Genomic DNA, 26176 nt, shown 5'->3' with positions numbered 1-26176 from the left:
TCACCTTTGAAAACAATAAGACCCAAAAGGAGAATCCTCTCACAATCTCTGAGTTAAATAAAGGGATCATGAACTTATTCTTCCTCTCTAACTGGCACAATACAAAATTTGCCAACCACTGGGGAGTCAGCTAAAACAGGTCTTAATATAGCAATAATGAAGACTTATTATATCCTTAGCACTACAGTAAGCACATTACATTCTTCACCCTTTTAATCACGACAACCACCCTAGGAGGTAGGAAATATCACCATTTTGTAGATGAGAACATTTAGAAAGGTCAAGTGACTTTTCCAAGGTTATAAAGAAAATAACCTTGAAGAGAAACCGGAGTGTTTTTCCTCTGTAGTGCTAAAACTCTTTGTATTCTAATACAATTTCACCAAAAATGCTAGAATACAACAGGAAATAGCTTATAGATAGTTTACATGCTAATAAATCAAATTCACTTAGAAACAAATTATTAAGGACAATTCTTTCTGAAGTTTTTTTCGAAACTTCATAAAAAAAGTATATTTGACAATCTCATTTTAATTATCAAATCAGTTTAAGCAATAAGTATTAAAAGCAAAAGAAAATCTCTGCAAGTTAGCAACTGGTAAAAGAAAATACAGTATATACAGAGAAAACAAAGTATTTTCAAAACTTTTTTTATGATGTTAAAATGCATTAGTTTTTAGAAACATTTTAATAGAAAGGGCTCTATAAATATAGGGTACTTTGTTATCATAGACAAACAAGGTGAAAGTAGATATCGGGTACTTTGTTATCATAGACAAACAAGGTGAAAGTAGATACAGTCAATATTCTGACTGTTAATTTCATTAAGAACATTGGTGGAAAAGACCTTTGCTAAGTATAATCAACAATAAAAAAGGGGCTATCAAAAATTATAAATCTATAAATCTAGGCAACTGCAATGAGCATAAAGCTACAGGTCTTTGGAGAAAGTACCAGAAGACAGTGTAAGGGTAAAGGGAGGCTAACGATACACTTCTTAGTACAGTCGGCCCTCTCTATCTGTGGGTTCTGCATCCAGGAATTACACCAACCACAGGTCAAAAATATTAAAAGTTGTGTCTGTACTGAACACGTACAGACTTTTTTCCTTGTCATTATTCCCTAAACATTATAGTATAACAACTATTTACTTGGCATTTACATTGTGTGAGGTATAAGTAACGTAGAATGACTTAAAGTATACAGGAGGCTGTGTATAGGTTCTATGCAAATACTACACCACCTTATATCAGGAACCTGAGTATCCCTGCATTCTGGTATTTGCAGATTGTGGAACCAATTCCTCACAGATATGGAGGGACAACTGTATTTTCCACATTCCAAGGTTATTTTGAAAAAAGATGCAGAATATCCCTCCCTATGAATTTGTCCTCAAAGCCATCATTACTGCCACTGAATAACTGGATTTACAACACTGAAATATACTTTTCAGAAAGAACTCAGCCAGGTGGGCAGATCACGAGGTCAGGAGATCGAGACCATCCTGGCTAACATGGTGAAACCCCGTCTCTACTAAAAATACAAAAAATTAGCTGGGCATGGTGGTGGGCGCCTGTAGTGACAGCTACTTGGGAGGCTGAGGCAGGAGAATGGCGTGAACCTGGGAGGCGGAGCTTGCAGTGAGCTGAGATAGCTCCACCGCACTCCAGCCTGGGTGACAGAGTGAGACTCCGCCTCAAAAAAAAAAAAAGAACCAAAGAACTTGGCCAACAAGGAATTCACTATTTCTGTATTATTGAAGCAATATTAAAATGTTTACAATTCTTTTTTTTTTTCAGGGCAGGCGACCTAATGTAGGAAACTTAATAAACCCTTGCATTGATATAATGATCTGTCAGGTTTTCATTTGAACAGTTCTCCAACATTCTCTGAACTGCCAAATAAACTGAATCTAAGCCCTATTTTTTCTTATGCTAAAGTGTGAATGATTCTGGACTATCTTACTGGGAAAACATTTCCTAACAATGTTTTTAAAAGTCATAAGGTCAAAACTGCAGTTATAAGAAAGAAGGGTGAATGCAGTGGCTCATGCCTGTAGTTCCAGTGCTTTGGAAGGCTGAGGCGGGAGGACTACTTGAGGCCAGAAGTTCAAGACCATCCTAGGCAACACAGCAAGACCTGTCTCTACAAAAAAAAAATTTAAAATTAGCCAGGTGTGACAGTGCAGAAAGGTGAGGTGAGAGGAGCACTTCAGTTCAGGAGTTTCAAGGCTGCAGTGACCTATGACTGTGCCACTGCATTCCTGCCTGGGTGACAAAATGAGACTCTATCTCAATTAAAAAAAAAAAAAAGGAAAAAGATACATTACTTTTAGCAGTACATTAGAGAAATATGTATTTACTGAAAAGAAAACAAAACAAAAAAGGAAAGTATTCAAAGAATGACTATAGTAACATGAAAAGCTAAGGATATTTAGTTTCAAAAGCACAACTAAGAGTGAAAAACATTAAGCAAAACAAACAGAAATGAGAATAGCTTCCAGCATAAATATTATACAACACCAAGACTGCTGTAAACTCAAGCAGAACTAGTACTAGACTGCTTAAAGTATATGCTAAAGAAGTTAACAGAATAAGCAGAATCTTTCCTACATTAATATAGAATCATCTCAACTTCCTTACCTAAGAAAAACTCTGCTTGCTTTATTCTGTTTTCAAAATAGAAATATAAAAAAAATTCTATTTACTGGTGGAAAGGTATTTGTTTTAAAAAATAGTACATAGAATAAAAATAATAGGCACAATAGGCAAACAGGAGAATTGACTTTAGCATCAAATCACCAGAAATACCACTTTTTAAAAATTTTATTTAATAGGGTGGATTTTTATTGCCCTAATATATTAAAATTATGTTTTCTAATAACCTGTTTGTGACATACCAACAGGAAGACTTTTGATTTTTCATGTTTTAATTATTCTGTGCATGACAAAGGTGCTGTCTTTATTGAATTCACACCATTGTACATCAGATAGCATGAATATTCTAGCAGTTACCGTGAAGTTCCAGAACCAAGGCCCCAGGGTTCCTGTGAGAAGCTGGCATATTATAATTATGATCTGGGACTCTGTAACATCGAATCTATGCATAAGGAAACAAACATTTCAAAATAACTTTACTCAGAACTTTTGCTAAAGAGCCCTACTAACACAGGTAACAAAAATAGATTTAAAAAGTAGCATTCTTCTTGCAAAGACACCTAAAGATGGAATGATACAATTTATACAGTACTATACTATCCTTATACATACATACATAGTTCTTATCCAAATCAAGATAGAAGTTAAAAAAATTAAAACTGTAATATACTGAAAAAATGACTTTTAAGTAGGCAGCTGGAAACACTAATACTAAAATCACAGAATCAACTCTAATTACCTAGTAGTGGTGAATATTACTTGCCAAATAATTACACTATGACATAAATCCCTTTAGCACCAGAACTGATCTAGACTTCCCTGTAGATAGGAATTCTTCTTAGAAGTCCCAATGTACATTTTGAAAAAACACTAATCCATCTTACGCTCCTTCCCTGTCCCAAGCCTCACCACACTCCTACCTCTGCTATCTCAAAAAAACTAGCATATATGTGGAAAGGGTAAGTGGGAAAGAATCTAATCAAGAGTAACTTCTATTTGGATATGGTTAGAGCAAAAATCAAATTGGCCATCTCCTTATCCTATTTCCTGATAATCTTTAGTCCAGAAGTTTTCCTTTTTCCTCTTTCTCTTCCCTAATTCCACACCAGCATTATAATACTCTACTACATTGGATTAGTTTACTAGTGATAAAAGTAAGTAAAACATCCAGTTCAATCACTTAAAAAGTTTGGAAACACAGATAACACACAAAACAGTAGCAGTATAGACTAGGCTTCAAATAAAAACTACTTAAATAAAAATTAAGAACTGAGGAATGCTAATGAGATAGATAGATGTCCATGATTTTACCTGGTGATCTGAGAGGCCAAACTGCAATCTAGGTTTTACATTAATACAAATGGTTGTTTTAGGACATCATCTATGGCAACTGATAAAATTAAACGAACGGAGCTGAGGCCCAAATGAACAAATCATTGCTGAAAAAAAGCTACACAGGGAAGTTGGAAACTGAAAGGAAAACCTCTGGTATTTAATAATTCATGTGATAAGTATTAGACATTTAAAGATAAATAGATTCTACGCAGGGATTAGAAAGTTTCCCAATTCTGAATCCATAGAAAGTGGATTATACATTAACAAACAACAGTTTTTTATTATCAAGAGGTCTTCAAATAATTATTCTTTAAAAATCACCTGGACAAAAAGATGAACTAAATTTGTCAGACTACCTAGTGGAATACATAGCCTATTAACTTTTTTCATTTAACTATAGAAAAGAAAGAGTGGGAAGCTACTTACTTACATAGAAATAAACATTTGGTGACAGGGTTTTTAGCTAATATAAATGTGAAACTTTAGAAGCATGAATTGAAAAATGTAATAAAAGCAAAAATTAATACTCTGCCTACTGTAATTATAAATAAGTACACTTGTAATAATATCTGTGTAGAATTAGTAGACTCACAGACTTTATAAACAGAAAGAACCTTATAGATCATCTAAAGCTTATTTTACAAATTAGGAAATGAGGCCCATGAAAGTTACGAGCCTTGCCCAAGCTGATATATAAAAAAGATAACTTAGAGATTAACATTTGAGCCAACATATATTGGCCCAAGTTCAATTTATTATTTTTTGTCTTGGAAAAAATAATTGAAGAGTATTTTGCTCCTGAAATAATTTAAGTGAGTTCTGCCTTTACAGCATAGATTTTTTTTTTTTTAAGACCGATGTTTTAGGCCGGGCGCAGTGGCTCACGCCTGTAATCCCAGCACTTTGGGAGGCCAAGGCGGGCGGATCACGAGGTCAGGAGATGGAGACCATCCTGGCTAACACGGTGAAACCCTGTCTCTACTAAAAATACAAAAAATTAGCCGGGCATGGTGGCGGGTGCCTGTAGTCCCAGCTACTCAGAGGCTGAGGCAGGAGAATGGCATGAACCCAGGAGGCGGAGGTTGCAGTGAGTCGAGATCGCACCACTGCACTCTAGCCTGGGCGACACAGTGAGACTCCGTCTCAAAAAAAAAAAAAAAAAAAAAAAGACCGATGTTTTATGTAAGTATAGTTTTATTAAAGATTGATTAGGATTTCTAAGCATTTAACTTATAGAAATGATTCTATATATATATGTCTACAAGTTATAGAATTAAAAATAACCTAATATAGGCCGGGTGCGGTGGCTCACACCTAATCCCAGCACTTTGGGAGGCCAAGGTGGGCAGATCACGAGGTCAGGAGATCGAGACCATCCTGGCTAACACGGTGAAACCCCATCTCTACTAAAAATGCAAAAAACTAGCTGGGCATGGTGGCAGCACGCACCTGTAGTCCTAGCTACTCGGGAGGCTGAGGCAGAATTGCTTGAACCCGGGAGGCGGAGGTTGCAGTGAGCCGAGGTTGTGCCACTACACTCCAGCCTGGGAAACAGAGCAAGAGTCCATCTCAAAAACAAAACAAAACAAAACAAAACAATCCAAAAAAATCCTAATATAGATAGTTTAGGTCTTAAGGGAGAAAATGTGAACTCTCCCATTCAGTATAATGGGAGATATTCAGTATAATTTAAGATATAAATATCTTAAAGAGTATTTTGCAAAGATGAGCTTCAATTCATATTTATCTTCTACAACCCAATCCTCCCATGAAATTCTAGCCTCTAACCCCATTTTCCTCCCCAGTCTTTCCTATCCAGGCTAGTCATCTCTGTCAGATCTCTACTTGCTCAATCCAGCGGCACTGTGAGAACAGGAGTCTGTCTAGACATGACAGGCACTCATATTCTCTGTGCAAGGTAGCTTTTAGCTGTGATCAGAGCAAACTGCTGGAAGACGTAGCTCATAATTTCAGGGAAGATGTATCCAAAGCACATCTGCTTTCTCAAAAGGCTAGACTTTAATGAGAATTATTTAGTTACAGATGAATTAAAATCCTGTGACTATTTTTGTTCAAGATACTATAAGCAAACTTAATAGCAATTAAAAACAGTAATAATAAAGAGGCTAAGGAACAAAAAATTCTTATCTGGCAAACATTCTATTTTATGAAGTTATTAAAAGTATAACAACCTAAATTATAAATAAAAAAGAAATTCTCATTATTTTCACTTATGTATGTAAACATCAAAATAAAACAATTCAAATAAATAAGCATGTTTAAAAATAAGATTCCTAAGGTACTTAAATCTGCTTTCACTTTTTTCTAGAAAACAGTAAGAAAATGCAAGTGATTTTAAAAAATTTCTTTACTCAAACTACATTTCAGAGCTGACCTTGTTCCCTCCTTATTAAGCAAAATAAATTTTGACTTTCTCCTCCATGCATACAAACTGCAATAAGTCTTTAGGGATATCTATATGTATTCTATAGATTCTATGTATCTATATGTATATCTCTATTTATTCTATATGCCTCCATTACATTGTTATTTTGATAAATGGCTCCCTAGTGTAGAGCACTTAGCCTGCATTTCTTTTTTTTTTTTGAGACATGTTCTTGCTCTGTTGCCAGGCTGGATGGAGTACAGTGGTGCTATCTCAGCTCACTGCAACCTCTATTTCCAGGGCGCAAGTGATCCTCCTACAGGCATGCGCCACCGTGCTTGGCTAATTTTTAAAAAATTTTTTTGTAGAGACCAGGTCTATATTGCTCAGGCTGGTCTTGAAATCCTGGGCTCAAGTGATCCTCTTTCCTCGGGCTCCCAGAATGCTGGAATTAAAGGCATAAGCCACTGTGCCTGGCCATAGCACATTTCTATGAACATTATAGCCTGCTTTTAATTTAAAAAACAAATTTGGTGCTGCTTTAATGCAAATGTAGAATTTCTGAAAATTGGATACAATTTCCCAAATTAAAACTAATCCCTTGTAATACTAAAATTCAAGTTCATATATTAAATTCAAACTAATCTTAATATATCTAGTGTTTCCCCCCGCCCCCAACCCCAAGCCTTGCAAGCACTCTAGTGTCAGTGGCAGAGTTTCCTCCTGTTTAATGCCTCTGCCTTTTACCCTAGAACTCCTTTGTTCCTATATCTTTAGCTATTGTTCTATAAATCATTCCCTCTTTTTATTCAGTATCTTCAATCTCTTCTCTAGCAGATTTCTTCTGAATGCTCAAAATTTTCTCATAAAAATACAAGACCCTCCTTCCTTTGAGCCCATATTCTCTCCTCTAACCAATGCTTCTCTCCTTCACATCACAGTCACACATTTTATAAGTAACGATATATAATGTGTAATAAATAGTAGTCTACTTATTTGTTCCATTCACTTCTTATCCCCTACAGTCTGGCTTCTGTCTCACCATTACACAGAAATTACTATGAATAGTTCACACTGCCAAATTCAATGTACACTTTTCTGTCCTCATTTTGAGTCTTGGCAGGATTTAGCAATGTTCTTTTGTGAAATGCATCCTTCTGGCTTTATATTCCAGTACGCCTCCTACTACTCTGGCTGTTCAATAAATTTCATGGGCTTCTTTCTAAGCTTGTTCTCTAAGTTTTCTCCTGTTCTCATTTTATTTGGATGTCTAAAATCCCTCACATATGTTTCTGGGTAGACTGCTCTCTTTAAATAGGTTCCTCTTCCTGTAGTGCCTTTCTCTACCTTCATCCAGCCACCCAAGGAAGGGAACTAGGAGTCATTTCAGTCTCTGCCCTCTCATTCATTCCCCACATCCAAACACACATTGTGTCCTATAGTTTCTACCTCAAAAGTCTCTCTCCAATTTATTCCTTGCTCTGCAATAGCACTGCCATTGTGTTAGTGCATGCTTCATCATTCACATTAATTATGCTGATGCTTCCTCTAACGGGTCTCCTTGCTTCTGTCACAGCCTACTACAATTTACCCTCTGCCTTACTGCCAGACTGATCTTTCTAAAAGGCACTTTTGTCATTTCCCTGCTTTAGGTCCTGCAAAAGTTCCCTGCAGATTCAGGGTAAAAGCTCATATTTCTTGGCAGAGCACAGGACCTTGATTTTCTGGATCTTCTCCAGCCTTATCTCCTGCCACTCCCTACAGGCAGGCATCTTATCATCCAACCATATGGAGTTGTTTACAGTTCTCTAAATACATACTTCATCACAGGACAACATCATGAGGGAAATTCAAAGACTGGAAGACAGAAAGCTGTGATATCAAATCACTTCTAAAAACACTATTTACTCTTCTCCTACATCCATGGTTAATTTTCTTTCCTTCCTTCAGTTCCCACACCATATGGTTGGTGATGTATTATTTGAAAGGGAAAGAGAATACATTAGGGCTGACAGATAAATAAGCTTTCAAAATAGGTATTGAAAGTGAACTGTGAGATAATAACCAACGAAACATAAACTATGTGAAATCCAGATATTATAAATTCTGCCATTTTTGAAAATAGTAGAAACACTAAAAATTAATATTGGATTAGGGCGCTGCTCTCAGAAACCATCTTCTTTTTCCTGGAAATGCATTTTTATATGTGAAAATAAAAATGGAATTAAGGTAAATAATGGTGGGGAAAAAAAGTGAATTTTTCTGTGGGAAAGACAAAGATGAGGGGCTACTGCTTTTTGTATTGCTTTTAAAATACTGGCTGGGAGGTTCTGATATCTCCTTTTAAAAAAGTATAATAGAGGGACATATGCAGAGACTATTAGGAAATAGCTATAATAATGAAGCATAAATTTTTTAATTTATTAAACTAACTTAGTGATTTGATCAATTTCTAATACTCAAATACTTATAAGGCAACATTCTCCATATGTGAAAGAGAAAACAAAAATTACCATTAAGTATTACTTACATTCCAAATCGCAATGTTCCAGAAACATACGTTTGCCAGTGCGCACAATAGAACATAAATGTCCCCGCAAAACAACAAAAAAACATCCAATCAGGGTTTGTCCCCAGCTGCACTGCAATACAAGTTCCAAGAACCACAAAAACTGCAGAAGAAAGATCACGATGAAAACCAAATAATATGAATAGCAAACAACTGAGCTGGAAATGATTTTAGATGAGACAAAAAGATATGCTGTAAATGCATAATCTTCTCTCAGTTATCTATTGTAACAGAAAAGTAGGATATAATCTGTTACATAATCTCTTACCCCATAATTTCAATCTCTCTTTTTTTTTTTTTTTTTACCAAATCACTTAGTGGAAGCAAAGTTCTTGAAGGCAACTAAAATACTTCAACATTTCTTCGAGTATTTTCCTGACTTAGAGACACTAGTACTAATGATCAGCAAATCATTACAAGGCAGACAGCCAAAAAAGAAAAACAAAGGGGCTATATAATCCCCAGACGGACCGACTTACTTGCTTCAGATTGATAACTGTCTTTTTTTTTTTAAACAGATATTGTTATGGGTGACATACATAGAAAAAGACTTCCTATAAAAGTCTAGACCTCAAACTACAACGCAAAAATGACTGCAATTTAAAATAAATAATAGGAAGCCTGCCATCCTGCCATCCTGCAGTCAGCTGGTTGTTGCCTTTCAAGACAGCCAACTACCATTTATTCAACAGAAGTTTTGAGTATTTCTTGATTTGACTCTTAAAAAATTATATGACCTTAGTTGCTTCTCCTCCTCTACTAAATAAGCTGCTGTTGGGATACAATGAAGCAATGATTTTGATATGCACCTATACCTGTAAATGTGGATTCAGGAGGTAAAACTATAAGGGGTTTTTGTTAGTTTCTTTTTAAATATTTTAAGTGCCATGTCAAACAAGAAAATAATTGAGAAACTAAATAAAACAAAAATAAAAGAGGGGAGGGATGAGTTCCTGTCAGAAAGACTAGCTGAAAAACTGTCATTTAGATTTTAAGTGTCTTTTTCCTCTCTAAAAACATAATAAACTACTATTTTAAAAACTTGCAAAACAGTGCAAATAAAGAGATATCACTTATAATCCAAACAGAGTAACTCAGTTATTGCTAGCACTTTAGTGTTTCTTTTAAAAATTGTATATGAGGTGTAAAACATGCCATATATATAAATGATTACTATAGTTAAGCAAATTAACCTATCCATCATGTCCCATAGTTACCTTTTTTCTCCTGTGGTAAAAGCATCTAAAATGTACTCTCTTAGCAAATTTCCAGTACACAATGCAATATTAACGATACTCCTAATTTGTCATAGTCTTTCTCTGAGCTTCTTATGACGTAGTTATAATCCAAGTCCATTAACATAATTCTGAATGTCTACATAACATTCATTTAAATATATGAAGACCACAAATTACCTAACTAGTCTCCCACCACTGTACTCTCATTTAGTTCATAAGAGTTTTGATGGTGACAATTATGCCCCAAGCTTTTAAAAACAAAAGATGCCAAAACAATATTTGGGGCTAAAAATAACAAGCAGAAAGTAATTTCTAAATTTCCTAACACTACCAATAATGAACAAATATTAACTAGGTTCATAGTCTTTTGAGAAATACTAAAATTTAATACAAAATTACTTATTCTCATGACTAAACATGTATTCTAACACTGCTTAGCACACTGGTTTAACCATTGTTAATAATCAATAACATTAAAAAAATCAACAATACCTGTTGATAGTGAATCACAGCCATGATCAAAAAGTTCTCCCAGAGGAGAACTACTATTGGTTCTTCTTGCCTGTTTCCCATCAATAGCATCCAAAGACTGGTAAATGAAAAGGCCACAGGCACAAGCAATATATGCCCACAGAGGTGCCTGTGAAATAAAATAAGAAAGGCAAGAGTATTCAGACACACAGTTACCATGTTTGACTAACATATTTTTACCTGCAGGTTGGAAAGCTAGTTGGAAGCTATGGGAGAGAAGATCCAAGTGCTACATAATGAAGAACTCACTGAAACAATTAGAATTGTAAAAGAATGCCGGGCGCGGTGGCTCACGCCTGTAATCCCAGCACTTTGGGAGGCCGAGGCGGGCGGATCACGAGGTCAGGAGATCGAGACCATCCCGGCTAAAAAACGGTGAAACCCCGTCTCTACTAAAAATACAAAAAATTAGCCGGGCGTAGTGGCGGGCGCCTGTAGTCCTAGCTACTTGGGAGGCTGAGGCAGGAGAATGGCGTGAACCCGGGAGGCGGAGCTTGCAGTGAGCCGAGATTGCGCCACTGCACTCCAGCCTGGGCGACAGAGCGAGACTCCGTCTCAAAAAAAAAAAAAAAAAAAAAAAAAAAAAGAATTGTAAAAGAATTAAATTTCCTGCTTTTAGAGGTGTTCAGGCAGATGCTAGATAACAACTTACAAGGGAGATTACAAAAATCCCAAGAGATTGGACTAGGTGTCTTCCATAAGATTCTTTAGATTAGAAGGGTCAATTATTGAATTTTTTCCAAAATCATATCCTTCAAAATGTTTGCAGGTATTACATGAAAAATTCCATGCTAACCTCATATGGGAAACACTGGGTTAAACACTAAACAATGTTAAATGGATTTCTTTACTACAGGACTTCTTCTAGTCCTTAATATTGCTAATACATCCTGTGAATATTCAAGAGGGGGACATAATGTCCTGCCATTTTCCAAATTTATTTGAGTTTGTAACATTTTTAAACATCTCTTCAATGGGCCATTAAATAACACTAGGAAATGATATCCAGTGCATAGAGTGTTCAGAATACTATTTTTCAAATCCACAGTCACGTTTTCAAGGAATAGCTTCTCTTTTCCCAAACAGAAATTGAACTGCTGGTATTAAATTAATTAATTAATTTATTTATTTATTTGAGATGGAGTCTTGCTCTGTCACCCAGGCTGGGAGTGCAGTGGTGCAGTCTTGGCTTACTGCAACCTCCGCCTCCTGGGTTCAAGAGATTCTCCTGCCTCACCCTCCCTAGTAGCTGGATTATAGGCATGTGCCACAAAGCCTGGCTAATTTTTTATTTTATTTTATTTTTTTTAGTAGAGACAAGGTTTTGCTATGTTGGTCAGGCTGGTGTCGAACTCTTCACCTCAAGTGATCCGCCCACCTCGGCCTCCCAAAGTGTTGGGATTACAGGCGTGAGCCAACGCACCCAGCCTGGTATTGAATTTAAATGTATATTCAAAAAGAAGAGGTCTTATTTGATTTATCCTTAAGAATGTGGAAGAGTATATTGTATCACTTTTCATTATTTTCCCCTTCCCAGGCTATAAAATACTTTTTATAATCACAAGGTAGTTTACTGTATATTGGTTATCAAGTTACACTGTGAATATTAAACACTCAGAGATGCAAATAACATTCAGTATATTCTGTACTGCAAAGGAGTTTCTCTCTGATAGAGATCTATTTAGTACCAGTTATTAAAAGGTAAGGATCTTTTCATAAACCTTTTTTGAGTTCCGTCTTTTAAGACACTGAGATTATCCAAAGGAGCTAGCACATACCTCCACTAAGCCAGAGTTATAAACCCTGAAAGCAATAAATATGATTATGGAACCATACTTTACATGCAAGCACACTGAACTGAGTAATTAATCCTGTATGACTAAGAACTCTGTCTTCTGGACTTTGGGTCTACTGCTTCTTGCTCCTAAAGGAATCCAGTAACTCTCTAGAGCTGCGCTATCTTGCACAGCAGCCATCAGTCATCTGTGACTATTTGAAATTAATTAATATTAAATAAAATTAAAAATTCAGTTCCTCAGTTACACTAGGTAGATTTTGAATGCTCAATAGCCATATGTAGCTATGGCTACTATATTGGACCTCACAGACATAGAACATGCCCATCTTCATAGAAAATTCTGCTGAATACCTCTGCTTTAGGGGACAAGAAATCTAGGGGTTTCTTGGGGTCCAAGCTTAAGATTTTAATGGGGCAAAATGTTGCTCCGGAGCAAAGATAACTAGTATATACACAATCCTAGGAAATAGTAAAATAACAATCACAGACATAAAAAGTTTCCTTGACTTTGGATTTTCCTTTCTTCCTGTGAATCTGCACAATGATACACTAATATTTATATACTTCTTCCTTGTGCACATTATTTTATACTTCTCAGAGGTATTTTAAGATGAAAGCCTAATTCAGGAATAAATATGATCCCAGTTGCCGTAAGACCCTGGGGGAGATACTGAATGAATGAAGGAACTCATGCATCATTCAGAACTCATTATGTCCTGATAAGTGTATGGGAAAGAACTGACATAAACAAATAATCTTATCACAATGTAGCAATTAACCAACTTGTAAAATCTTGCAGAGATGTTATATGAGTCAACTCAGGTAAAAAATTCCAAGAAACATATGGTTTTACTAAACTTTTGAAACAGAACTGAAGATTTTACATACATACAAATATATATATACATGCTAGTACAAGAGTAATTTTTTTCTTTTTCTGGGAGGATACATCAGAAAAACTATTAAATGTTACCTCACTTTCAGCACTGGACAGACCATCTAAATTAAGTTCGTCCAAGCTGTGGCACGTGGGCTGCACTGCATGCAGCCAAGGACAGCTCTGAATGCAGCCCAACATCAATTTGTAAACTTTCTTAAAACATTATAAGATTTTTTTTTCCCCGCTCATCAGCTATCGTTAGTGTTTTATGTGTGGCCCAAGACAATTCTTCTTCCAACATGGTTCAGGGAAGCCAAAAGATTAGACACCCCTGATTTAAACAGAAAACCAACAAAGTAACATTGAACTTAGAGTGCACTACAGACCAAATGGACCTAACAGACATTTACAGAACATTTCATTCCATAGCTGCAGAATACACATTCTTCTCATCAGCACACGAAACATTCTCCAGGACAAACCATGTGTGAGGCTACAAAACAAGTCTCAACAAATTTTTAAATATTTGCGTTGGGGTCATTTCAAGTATCTTCTGAGACTACAATGGAACAAAACTAGAAATCAATAACAAGAGGAACTTTGCAAACTGTACAAATACATGAAAATTAACAAACATGCTCCTGAATGACCAATGAATCTATGAAGAAATTAAGAAGTAAATCATTTTTTGAAAAATATAAAAACAGAAGCACAAAATACCAAAACCTACAAGATACAGCAAAAGAAGTACTAAGAGGAAAGAATAAAGCAAAATAAATGCCCACATCTGAAAAGTAGAAAGATTTCAAATAAACAACGTAATAATGCACCTCAAAGAACCAGAAAAGCAAGAACAAATCAAATCCAAAATTAGAAGAAATAAAGATCAGAGCTAAATGAAATAGAATATATATATACATATACACACACACATATACACATATGTGTGGGTTATATATGTACATGAAAATCTGGCCAGGCTTGGTGGCTTACGCCTGTAATCCCAGTACTTTGGGAGGCCAAGGCGGGCAGATCACCTGAGGTCGGGAGTTTGAGACCAGCATGGTCAACGTGATGAAACCCCATCTCTACTAAAAACACAAAATTAGCCGGGTGTGGTGGCGCATGCCTGTAATTCCAGCTACTCGGGAGGCTGAGGCAGGAGGATCGCCTCCCAGGTGAGGCGGAGGTTGCAGTAAGCCAAGATCATGCCATTGCACTCCAGCCCGGACAATAAAAGCAAAACTCCATCTCAAAAAAAACCCCCAAAAAAGTGAATATATATATCATATATATGTATATATACATATATGACACACATGGCATGTGTCATATATGTTGTGTGTATACACACACACACACACAAATGATAAAATGAAAAGTTGGTTTTTTGAAAAGAAATAAAATTGACCAACTATTAGCTATGAATAACCAAGAAAAAAAGACAGAAGACCCAAATAAATAAAATCAGACACAAAAAAAGAGGCATTACAACTGATACCACAGAAATATAAAAGATCATTAGAGGTTGTCATGAACAACTATATGCCAACAAACTGGAAAACCTAGACGAAGTAGATACACTTTTAGACACGTATAACCTATAAAGATTGAACCAAAAGAAATAGAAAACCTTAACAGACTAATAACAAATAACAAGATTGAATAAATATTAAAAAGTTTTCCAACAAAGAAAAACCCAGGACCAAATGCCTTTACTGCTGAATTCTACCAAACTTTTAAAGAACTACACCAATTCTTCTGAAACTATTCCAAAATACTGGAGAGAAAATTCTTCCTAATTCATTCTACGAAACCAGCATTACCCTGACATCAAAACCAGATAAGGATGCAATAAAAGAAGAAAACCACAAGCCAGTATTACTGATGAACACAGATACAAAAATCCTCAAGAAACTACTAGCAAACCAAATCCAACGGCGCATTAAAAAGATTATTCAACATGATGAAGGAGGATTTAACTCAGGGATGCAAGGATGGTCCAACATATGCAAATCAATAAATGTGACACATCACATCAACAGAACGAAGAACTAAGATCCTATGATCATCTCAATAGGCTCAGAAAAAGCATTTGATAAAATTCAACATCTCTTCAAGATAAAACGTCACCACAAATTATGCATACAAGAAACATACCTCAACACAACAAGGACCATATATGACATACCAACAGCTAACATCATACTGAATGGGGAAATGGTCAAAGCTTTTCCTCTAAGAACTAGAACCAGACAAGGATGCCCACTTTCCACACTCAACATAGTACTGGAAGTCCCAGCTAGAGTAATTAAACAAGAGAAAGAAACAAAGGGCATTCACATTAGAAAAGAGGAAGTCAAAACTGTCCCTCTTTGCAGATTATATGAACTTATATATGGGAAAACTTAAAGACTGCATCAAAAAACTCATAGAACTGTTAAATTCAGTAAAGATGCAAGATACAAAATCAACATACAAAAATCAGTAGCATTTCCATACACCAATAACAAACTAGCTGGAAAAAAATCAAGAAGGCAACCCCATTAACAACAGCTAAATAAAATAAAATAAAATAAAATAAAATAAAATAAAATAAAATAAAATAAAATAAAATAAAATACTTGGGAATAAATTTAACCAAGGAGTTGAAAGATCTCCACAATGAAAACTACAAAGCACTAATAAAAGAAACTGAGGAGGACATATACACAAAATGAAAAGTCATCCCATGTCCATGAATTAATATTGTCAAAATGGCCATACTACCCAAAGCAATCTACAGATTCAATGCAATCCCTATCAAAATACCAATGACATTCTTCACAGAAATAGAAAAAAAATCCTAAAATGTGTATGGAATCACAAAAACCTCAGAATAACCAAAGCACTCTAGAGCAAAAAGAACAAAGCTGGAGGCATCACACTACCTGACTTCAAAATACACTAAAAAGCTATAGTAACCAAAACAGCATGATATTGGTATAAAAAGACATACAGACCCAAAGAAATGAGAACCCAGAAATAAATCTATGTATTTACAGCCAACTGATTTTTGACAAAGATGCCAGGAACATAGAGTGGGGAAAGGATAAATAAATGGTGCTAGGAAAATTGAATATCCACATGCAGAAAAATGAAACTAGACCCCTATCTCTCACTATATTCAAGAATCAACTCAAATGGATTAAAGACTTACAAATGTGAGACCTAGTAGTATAAAACTACTAGAAAAAACACAGGGGAAATGCTTCAGTACATTGGTCTACGCAAAGATTTTATGGCTAAGATCTCAAAAGCACAGGCAAGAAAAACTAAAGTAGAGACAGCAGGGCGTGGTGGCTCACATCTGTAATCCAAGCACTCTGGGAGGCTGAGGCAGGTGGATTATCTGAGGTCAGGCTGACCAACCCCATCTCAACTAAAAATACAAAATTACCCAGGTATGGCGGTGTATGCCTGTAATGCCAGCTACTTGGGAGGTTGAGGCAGGAGCATCACTTGAACCTGGGAGGCGGAGGTTGCAGTGTGCTGAGCCTGGAAGACATCATGTTAAGTGAAATAAATCAAGCACAGAAAGATAAATACTGCAAGTTCTTACTCATATGCAGGAGCTAAAAAAAAAATGCTCATAGAAGTAAAGGGAAGAATTGTGGTTACAAGAGGCTGGGATGGGTAAGGAGGAGGGGAGGATAGGGACAGGTTGTTTAACAGAAGCAAAGTTACAGCTATGTAGGAGGAGTAAGTTCTAGTGCTCTACAGCAATGTAGGCTGAATATAGCTAACAATAATGCATTGTATATTTTCAAAAAGCTAGAAGAGAGGATCTGGAATATTAACACAAAGAAATAAATGTTTGAGGTGACAGACATAATTACCCTGATCTGATCATTATACACTGTATATATGTTTTAAAATATAACACTGTATCTCATATATAATTATTATGTGTCAATCAGAAGGAAAAAAATACTCCTAAGATTTTGGCGGGCATATATATGGGCAGGTACAATATGAGTTTTATTACTATTTCAAACATACAAAAAGTTTTTAAAAATCTGATGAACACCCTTGACAAACCTCTCAGCTTAAAAAGCATAATTGGAGTTCCATGAACAGCTCTCTCCAATTCATCATGCAATCTCCCCCAAAAGTACCCACTAACCTGAATTTAGTCTTTATTATTCCTATGTTTGCCTTTAGACTTGATTACATATATATGCAATCCTAAACAATAAAGACTTATTTTGCATACTTTAAACAATTTCTAAATGGTGTACTGTGTGTTCCACATGTTGCTTTTTCTACTCAATAAAATTTAGGGTGTGATTTGTCAGACAAAAATACTGTTAAACTTTATTACATTTGAGGAGAGAGGTTAGGGTGAGGGGTAGGAAGGAAAGGCAGATAAAAAAGGGAAGATTTTACTTTTTGTTTTATGCCACTCTTTGCATTTTTTTAACTCTGTAATTTTTTTCCCCCTTCACTTTTCAATGTCAACATAAGTTAACTGGGCAGTGAAATTATGGTCAATGTGCCGTTTTAATTTTCTTTTCACTTTTCTATGCCAAAAAAAAATCTAACAAGTTATTTTTTAGTGAGGTGAATCAAAAGCATGAAAACTAGCAATATAAAAACAAAAACAAATGAGTGTTTAAACAACTCATGATATTTCAAAAAGTTATATTGAAATCTGACACGACTCTTTCTGATAATGGCATTTCTGGTTTTCATGGGTATAATACAGGTTAACACCAACTTCCTTTTTCTGTCTTACGTGATGAGGACTAAACTGTTGATTTTTACCTTGCCCAAATTCGTATCTAAGGGGTCTGGGGAGTCATGCCCTACAAATCATAAATTCTCATCAGATGGGTTTTATTTAACCCTATATATCTTGGTTTACTTTCCAACCTGACTCTGGCATAACAATACAAGACAAGGAAGAAAATCAAAATATTTTACCCCAAAACATGTTTCTTGGTCATATTTTGAATTGGCCCTGCAAAGCTGTTCTTTGTGGGGGAAAATGTGCATCTGTAAAGAACCTCTATTAACATAGCTAGATCTTTTTCTTCCAGACTGTCCCAATCCTAAAGAGATTAACTAAGATCTGAAAGGGAAACGTTTGTCATCTATTGTCTCTAAGGACAGCCACTATAAGACTTCAAAAGAACTTTGGTCTCCACAATCTTTATCTTAACCTGAACATTCCCTTTCTATCAATCCCAGATCTTTAGACAAACTTATCCAGAAAATGTTTAAATTCAACTACAGCCTGGAAGCCCTTCCACTCTGAGTTGTCCCGCCTTTCTGGACCAAACCAATGTATTTCTTAAATGTACTTGATTGATGTCTCATGCCTCTCTAAAATGTATAATACCAAGCTGGCCGGGTGTGGTGGCACACGCCTGTAATCCCAGCACTCTGGGAGGCCAAGGTGGGTGGATTACAAGAACAAGAGATTGAGATCATTCTGGCCAACATGTTGAAACCCTGTCTCTGCTAAAAATACAAATATTAGCTGGGTGTGGCGGCGTGCGCCTGTAGTCCTGTATTCGGGAGGCTGAGGCAGGAGAAATCGCTTGAACCAGGGAGGTGGAGGTTGCAGTGAACCGAGACTGCGCCACTGCACTCCAGCCTGGCAACAGAGCGAGACTCCGTCTCAAAAAAAAAAAAAAACAAACAAAAAAAAACAAGCAGTGCTCTGACTACCTTGGGCACGTGTTCTCAGGACCTCCTGAGGGCTGTGTCACAGGCCATAGTCACTGATATTTGGCTCAGAATAAATCTCTTCAAATATTTTACAGAGTCCAACTCTTTTTGTGGATGGAGGCAAGGTGAACACAAGTATATTAACATATACCAAGTTGCAAGACAAATTCCAAATTAACTTATGACACTAAAATCAAAGCTACTAGCTAATGAAGTTTAAATACTGAGTAATGAACAGATCAAAGGGAAATTTTGGCTCTCCATATAAAAAGAGAGAAGTCTGTATTTCTACCCTAAGAATGTGAAAAATAAAAGCTAACTTATTTTCTTATCTACTAGGAGGATTGCTTTTTCTAAGAAAAGAAACAAACTGAGCTTAAACTATTATAATAATGACCTTCCTTTCTACCAGAAAGATTGGTGTCTGAAACTCTAATACATTTTTTAAAAAATCAGTAACATAAAAAATATATGGGAAGTTCGTAATACTATACATGTAGACATGAAACTTAATGATCATCCACTGGCATAAGGCCCAAAAGAATCAGAGATACAATGAAGGAGAATTTCCCTGGGTGATAAAATTTACGAAATTCTCTGACTCCAACATGATGATAAAGAAAAATATAAAAGAAATAAGGACTTAGATGAATTTGTAACTGGAAATATTATGTATCATTAGAGGAAATCACGAATGGGAAGGGGGCTGTGGAAGAATAGATTATATACCTAATCTTTTTGATCAATGAAACAATAACCATCTACTATTTTGAACATTATATGCTAGGTACCCTGAATGTATGATCATCATACCACAAAATAAGATTTAAAGAGGGTGACTTAGAAAATTTACTTATCTTACTGAAGATCACAGAGATAACAGCTTGTCATAGAAAACAACCAAGACCTATTTAAATGCATTCTGCTTTGAGCCTAATAAGGATAGCTACCTCGTAGCTAAAAATGCATCCAGGCATCTCCATTGTAGGACATTATCTTCCCTTGCAGAACAACAAGCAGCAGCTCAGTCATATTCTGATTCCTCCTAGCAGCCATTCTGAACCATCACAACTAGTGAAAAGAATAGCTTCCATTCTGGAAGTCTCCCTAAAGATTTAACTAATTCTTGGGTTATTCATACATTCCAAATCACTTAAGAACAGAGGCCAAGAAAAAGTATTACAGGGGAACACATTACCTGATATACTCTGTGGTGTTCCATAAATGACTATTAGTGGCTGAACTATCCTTGAACCTGCTCTCACTCCTTGATCCCCATCCTAGAACTAGTTTAGTACTGGAGGTCTTCCACTGGAATCAATCCACCTCCCTGTTGTTCTACTATATCTCTAATGATTTGTGTGATTTGGACCAAACCCTTCTGGGAGTAGCAGTCAAATTCTCAGACAAGCCCCAAGTGAAACAATTTAAAGGATATGTGATAAAGAATCCAAGGACACATTTAAATAATGTACTGGTTTGTGTTTTTTAAGTATCCTAACTGAGCAACAGGAAGAGAGTTAAAAAGAGGAGGGGAGCTGGGCGCAGTTGCTCACTGTAATCCCAGCACTTTGGGAGGCCAAGGTTGGTGGATCACCTGAGGTCAGGAATTCCAGAGCAGCCTGACCAACAAGGTGAAGCCCTGTCTCTACTACAAATACAAAAATTAGCCGGGCGTGATGGTGCGGGCCTGTAATCCCAGTTACTTGGGAGGCTGAGGCAGGAGAATCGCTTAAACCCTGGAGGTGGAAATTGCAGTGAGCCAAGACAGTGCCATTGCACTCCAGCCTGGGTGACAAAGGCAGACCCTGTCTCAAAAAAAAAAAAAAGAGGAGAAACCAGATTTTACATCTATAAAATCTGTATGGACTGTATTTGCAATAGTAGAAGAGGAATTAAGGGTGATGGGAAATGAAAACCTGGAAAATAACAGAAATCACATGTTCTGGGGTAAAGGTGACCCTCAATAGCCATTCACTTTAATGGCTTTTATTTAACCTATGGAAACAGACAAATTGATGAAAACAGAAAAGAATAGAGGGTTGAATGGTGGTAATTTTATCTCAAAGGACAAATAATCTGAGAAGATTACTTAAAAAAAATTACTTCAAGCTTAAAACAAGGTAAGGAATGTTGTGGCCATTACCATCTCATTTAGCTCAGAATCACTCTGAAATGTTTAGTTAGAATTACCTTCTACTGTCCTGAATTACCAGAAACTGATCAGTCTAACTTATTTAGGCAGAACAAATGCTTGTAATTCTCTCATCTACCTAACTAGCTTAGTTCATGTTTTGGTAAGGATATTTTAAAACCAAAGAAATAAATATCAATGTATCTATTCTGATAAAGAGTTCTAGTTTTGGTTTCAAGTAATGAGTACAGAGGGTAATAGAGGGTAACGGTAGAAGAGAGGCTTGGATCTGAGAAGGCCTGTGTGAGTCTTTGTAAGCAATAGCATGCATCCTTTCTTAATGGTAGCCAGAGCAGGATACAGAATAGGAAATACATTGTATTGACTTTTTCTTACACTTCCTTTGCCACAGTTGTTAGAAGAATAAGCCATATACCCGAAGTCTTCAGGCATACATGTTTAAAGGAAGAGAGAAGGGAAATTTAACACTTCTCACTAGAATGGAAAAAAAACCTTTTGATAAGGCTAGTTTACAGTCATGCCATACTAAATACCAGAGAGTTTTCTCACTGTTTTTTTTTTTTTTGCTAAGACTTTATTCTACCATTTAAAAAAATGAAAAACTTTTTTGTAAAAAATTGAGATTTAGTGACTTTAAAAGGAACATTTTACATGTTAATCCCTGCTAACATTAATTTAAGCACTAGGATCACAGTCTACCGTTTGCTTCTGGTTTCCAATAAGCAAGTGTGTAGGCTGTACTTACAAGCTTTATCACAGTGTGTGTGATATTTTAAAATAGTTGACAGCTGTCAGATTACTTTATCTTTAGTTAAAATGACCCCACGATCCCAATTACAACGTTTTTGGTATATAGCAAATGTTGAGATCTGTTAAGAAACTCTTACCTGCTCTGTAGCTGTAGGGCAGTAGAAGACTAATAAAATAGTTGTACAGATGTTTATTGACAGTCCAATGATGGTGATGAGATTTGGGGCAATCCAGGAGGGAACTCTTCTAACGAGCCATTCCCAATACCCTTGCATTAAGGGCTCAAGCAGGGACCGTCCAGCACTTTGATATCTGTGTTCTTCTAGCCGCTTTAGTTGGTGTCTTGACAATGGTGGTGTTGGTAACTGAAACAATTTATTTAATACACATCCTGTAGTACTCATATGCCCGAAGCCCACTGGGGACTCCGGGTGAGAATCTCCACATCTTTTCCTTGTTGATCGATGCCCACTCATGGATCTTGTTTTTTTTTAATATTTAAAGACAGTAATTTCCCTTCTTTTGTAGGTTTTTGTGGCTGGTGCTTACCTAAAAAATAAAATAAAATAAAAATTAAAAAATACACTTGTTGGCCACTATTTACATCTTATGCCAATATTAACAAATTAGGAAACAAAAAATCAAATTGTCAATAAAGTAGTAAGTATCAAACAGGACCAGAAAAGGAGGGACCTGATTTTGGTTCTAGTTCTTATTGAAAGTGTATAACCTCAACTTTAAGCAAAAAATAGTAAGAGACTTTAATAGTAGTATGCTTCCTATTATCTGATAGTCTGTCTGACTTTGAAGCTCATATTCTTTTTCCATCCCACACTGCTTTCAGTTGTATAATGCAACAAATGTTAGAAATCATCTCATCATTACACATATACGGAAACTGAGGTCCCAAGGCTAGCAAATTAGTATTAGTATCAGAGGAATGACTTCAATGAGTCTTAAACTAGATTTTTATTTAATGGTAATAGCTAACATTTATTGGGCATGCCCTTCATATTACAAAACTTAAGCACATTTTATATACTAACTCCTTTAATCCTCACAACCACCCTAGAAGGCAAGGACTATTAATTATCCCCATTTTTACAGAAAAATAAACTAAGGCTCAGTGAGGCTAATTAACTTGTCCAAATCACACAGCTGGTAAGTAGCATTCAAACAAACACAGGTTTTCTGTTTAAACTAAACCAAGTAGTATTCAAACAAACACAGGGTTTCTGTTTAAATTAAACCAAAAGACAAAACTTCTTATTGGTAAAAACGAATATAGACGGTATTCTCGGTGGAGATATACAACAATGAAAAAAATTAACTTTAAGACAGTATATATGTATTAGCAGAGTGTCCTGATGAACTGAGGAAGTAGAAGGAAAAAAAGTAAAAGTGGGTTAAGTGATGACTGCTAATAAAGGACCTTGAGTTTAATCCCTGAAGTATTTGTATTTCATTTAGAAAAGATTAGAGATAACAATTATAAGTAATCAAGTAGCATGAGGAAATACAAGAGTATTTTCAAGATGAATCAGAATGGAGAAAATAGAACAATTAAAAATTAGTAAGTACAGTGATCTCAATGGTTTGAAGTGGTGAGGGCCTATAGTAGGATGGTAAAAATGAAAATATGAAAGACAGTCAAATCTATAAGTAATTTCTATTTAGATGGAAGATTCAGCAGAAAGTACTTAAGAATTAGATATGAGAGGTGAGGAAACAGAAGAAAAAAAGAGTCAACAGCTAGAGATTACTGGTACTGTTGTCAAAAGGGCAAGTTGGAAAAGAAAATCAGTTTGTTATTTTTTGGCTTTTGGGGTGTAGTGGGTGAAAGGGAACTAGGGATGAGGGTAGGAATGGAATATATACATGTGACTTTTAAGTAGAGATGTTTTAGACAAAATCAAAAAACTGGAGTTTTGGTAAGAGTGAGAAGTTCAGGTCATCAACTTAAAAGCTAAAGTCTGGTTAAAAACTAGAAAGTAGAAAAGTTCTCAAAGGGATTAAGCATTGAAAGAAAAAAATGAATAAAGAACCTTGTGAGAAACTTACCATAGTGAGGAGGAGGAGGAACAGAGACCATTTAAAAAAAAAAAAAAAAGAAAGAATCTTAATAGAACAAAAAAGATTAGTGGCATAGGTATGTTTTGATCTTCTGGTTGGAAACTATCCACAAAGCAGAATCAAAGTCCCAGAAATGGTATAGGTCTAGGACATCTCGACAATAGATCTACTATCAAAACATGCTCAGTTGTCCCTTTTAACTTTTTTTTGCTGTGAGAGGATCTGGTTTATTCTGCCTTTGCAGGGTGGTCCTGAGAGTGGCAGGTTCCCCCCTGTCTGGGGTGGAGGGGAGGCAGCGCTGGAATGCAGTGAAGCCAGGCCAAGGCCCAGAGGCAGCTGTGGTAGACTGCAACATGGTGCTCCTGCTGCCCAGGATGGAAGGCACTGAACTGAGACCCGGCCATGGCTAGAGGACTATGAACCCAGGCCACATGTGCATTCTGGGAAGTGGAGCACAGGGTCACATGCCACAAAACATGAAATGTAGGCACTCAGCTCATGAGTAACCACATGGACAAGTAGGTACCAGCCAGGGGGACACTCACCCCACAGCCTGGTATGGACATGTGAACACAATGGAACAGGACTTTTTTCCTATATCCCTATAAATATCAAATTCCAAAATTTCAATGTTACTAATGACCTAAGGTGGCATCCAAAACCTCTGTCAATCACGTATCTCAATATTTGGTTTAGAAAATAGTCATTATAGTCAAGTTAATGCCCTTAAATAAATTTTCAAAAATCTCAAGAGACTCATCAGTGCCACAATTTAACCAACTGAGATGCCCTGAAATAAAAATATTTAATATTTCGCCAGGCGCGGTGGCTCACGCCACTTTGGGAGGCTGAGGCGGGCGGATCACCTGAGGTCAGGAGTTCGAGACCAGCCTGGCCAACACGGTGAAACCCCGTCTCTACTAAAAATATAAAAATTAGATGGGCGTGGTGGCAGGCATCTGTAATCCCAGCTACTGAGGAGGCTGAGGCAGGAGAATTGCTTGACCCCAGGAGGCGAAGGTTGCAGTGAGCCGAGATCGCACCACTGCATTCCAGCCTGAGTGACAAAGCGAGACTCTGTCTTAAAAAAAAAAAAAATTAATATTTCAAATCAAGGAGAGAAATCAAAGCTAATTTCTTACATTTTGAGGAATTCTTTCACACAACTGTATCACAAAGGTACTGATTAAAACTGTTTTAAAGTAATGTTTATATAATATTAAATAACTGGTGACGAGATCACTTTAGATCAAATGAGAGACCAATAACCACGAATACACTTAGCTTCATAGTAGCCAAATTTTCTATAGTCGAGCAATGATATATTTTCGTATTTGGTAAATGATAGCTCTTACGGAATTCCACTTGAAATGGGAATTAAAAATTCAGTCAATTCCATTTGTATTTTACTGTTGCAGTATTCTATTCTCTTACTGTAAAGAAAAAAAGATGAGTGCTAGCCTGCTTTTGGCACTAAATAGCTATAAGCAACTGATCCTAATGGTTTTAAGTCTGAGCATTTGGCAGGACTAGTTGATAAACTGATACTTTCCCTCTCAGTTTTTCCCCTCTGCGACCTAGATTGTTTTTTAACCTTCTATTTCTCTTTTATAAACATCTACATTTTGACAAACCTTTCCAGATCTAGCCCACGGTACAAATTTATACATGAAAAGAGGCAATGAGTTTTTGAAGGCTTTCTTTGCCAACATTGCAGCAACAATGTCTCTGTGAAGCTATTAGCAACAACACTGCAAATATAAATTCAGATACATGTAGTCTCTGACCTACAGATGGCTACTTTACTTTCAACACATTCATATAGATACAGAGTTTGCAGTCACTACCACAGGTTCATCTCTACTCTTCCTTCCATCATATCTGAGATCCAGGGGCTATGACCATGAAAACCATTACAGAAAAGACAGGAACTTCTGAATTTTAGCAAATGAAAAGCAAGCATATCTCAATGGAGCCGCATAGGGTAGGTGGCTACAACAGGAAGATCAGGACAATGTGGCGAGAAAGGAAAAATGGATGTGGGGTGGGAATACAGAAAGGAGGTAGAATATTAAAAAATTATTCTATG

The 26176-nt window shown here is 36.3% G+C and overlaps 1 protein-coding gene across 9 annotated transcripts in view, besides 1 other annotated feature; it reads right to left on the bottom strand.

The window, feature by feature from the left end:
* Positions 1-26176, bottom strand: part of CEPT1 (choline/ethanolamine phosphotransferase 1) — a 45606-nt gene that overhangs the window by 14900 nt on the left and 4530 nt on the right. For 5 of the 9 annotated variants that reach the window (NR_138485.2, NR_138484.2, NM_001007794.3 and 2 more), the window contains exons 2-4: positions 22152-22563; positions 10678-10825; positions 8909-9050 (exon numbers count right to left, since the gene is read on the bottom strand). Coding sequence is in view for 6 of the 9 variants with exons in the window: in NM_001007794.3 (NP_001007795.1) it covers positions 8909-9050; positions 10678-10825; positions 22152-22490 (629 nt within the window). In the remaining 3 variants the exon portion in view is untranslated. Of the gene's footprint in view, positions 1-3014; positions 3100-8908; positions 9051-10677; positions 10826-22151; positions 22564-26176 lie in introns of all 9 variants that reach the window. The other 4 variants (NR_138483.2, NM_001410844.1, XM_047429909.1 and 1 more) reach the window with 1 other exon arrangement.
* Positions 24384-24453: an enhancer, noted in NCBI's record as "active region_1482". NCBI's record gives its function as "activates an Ori minimal core promoter by ATAC-STARR-seq in GM12878 lymphoblastoid cells {active_cell/tissue: GM12878}" and the evidence as "EXISTENCE:reporter gene assay evidence [ECO:0000049][PMID:35858748]".

This window comes from Homo sapiens, chromosome 1 (genome assembly GCF_000001405.40).
Source record: "Homo sapiens chromosome 1, GRCh38.p14 Primary Assembly".
Taxonomy (NCBI): Eukaryota; Metazoa; Chordata; class Mammalia; order Primates; family Hominidae; genus Homo; species Homo sapiens.
This window is presented reverse-complemented; position numbering and strand designations above follow the sequence as displayed.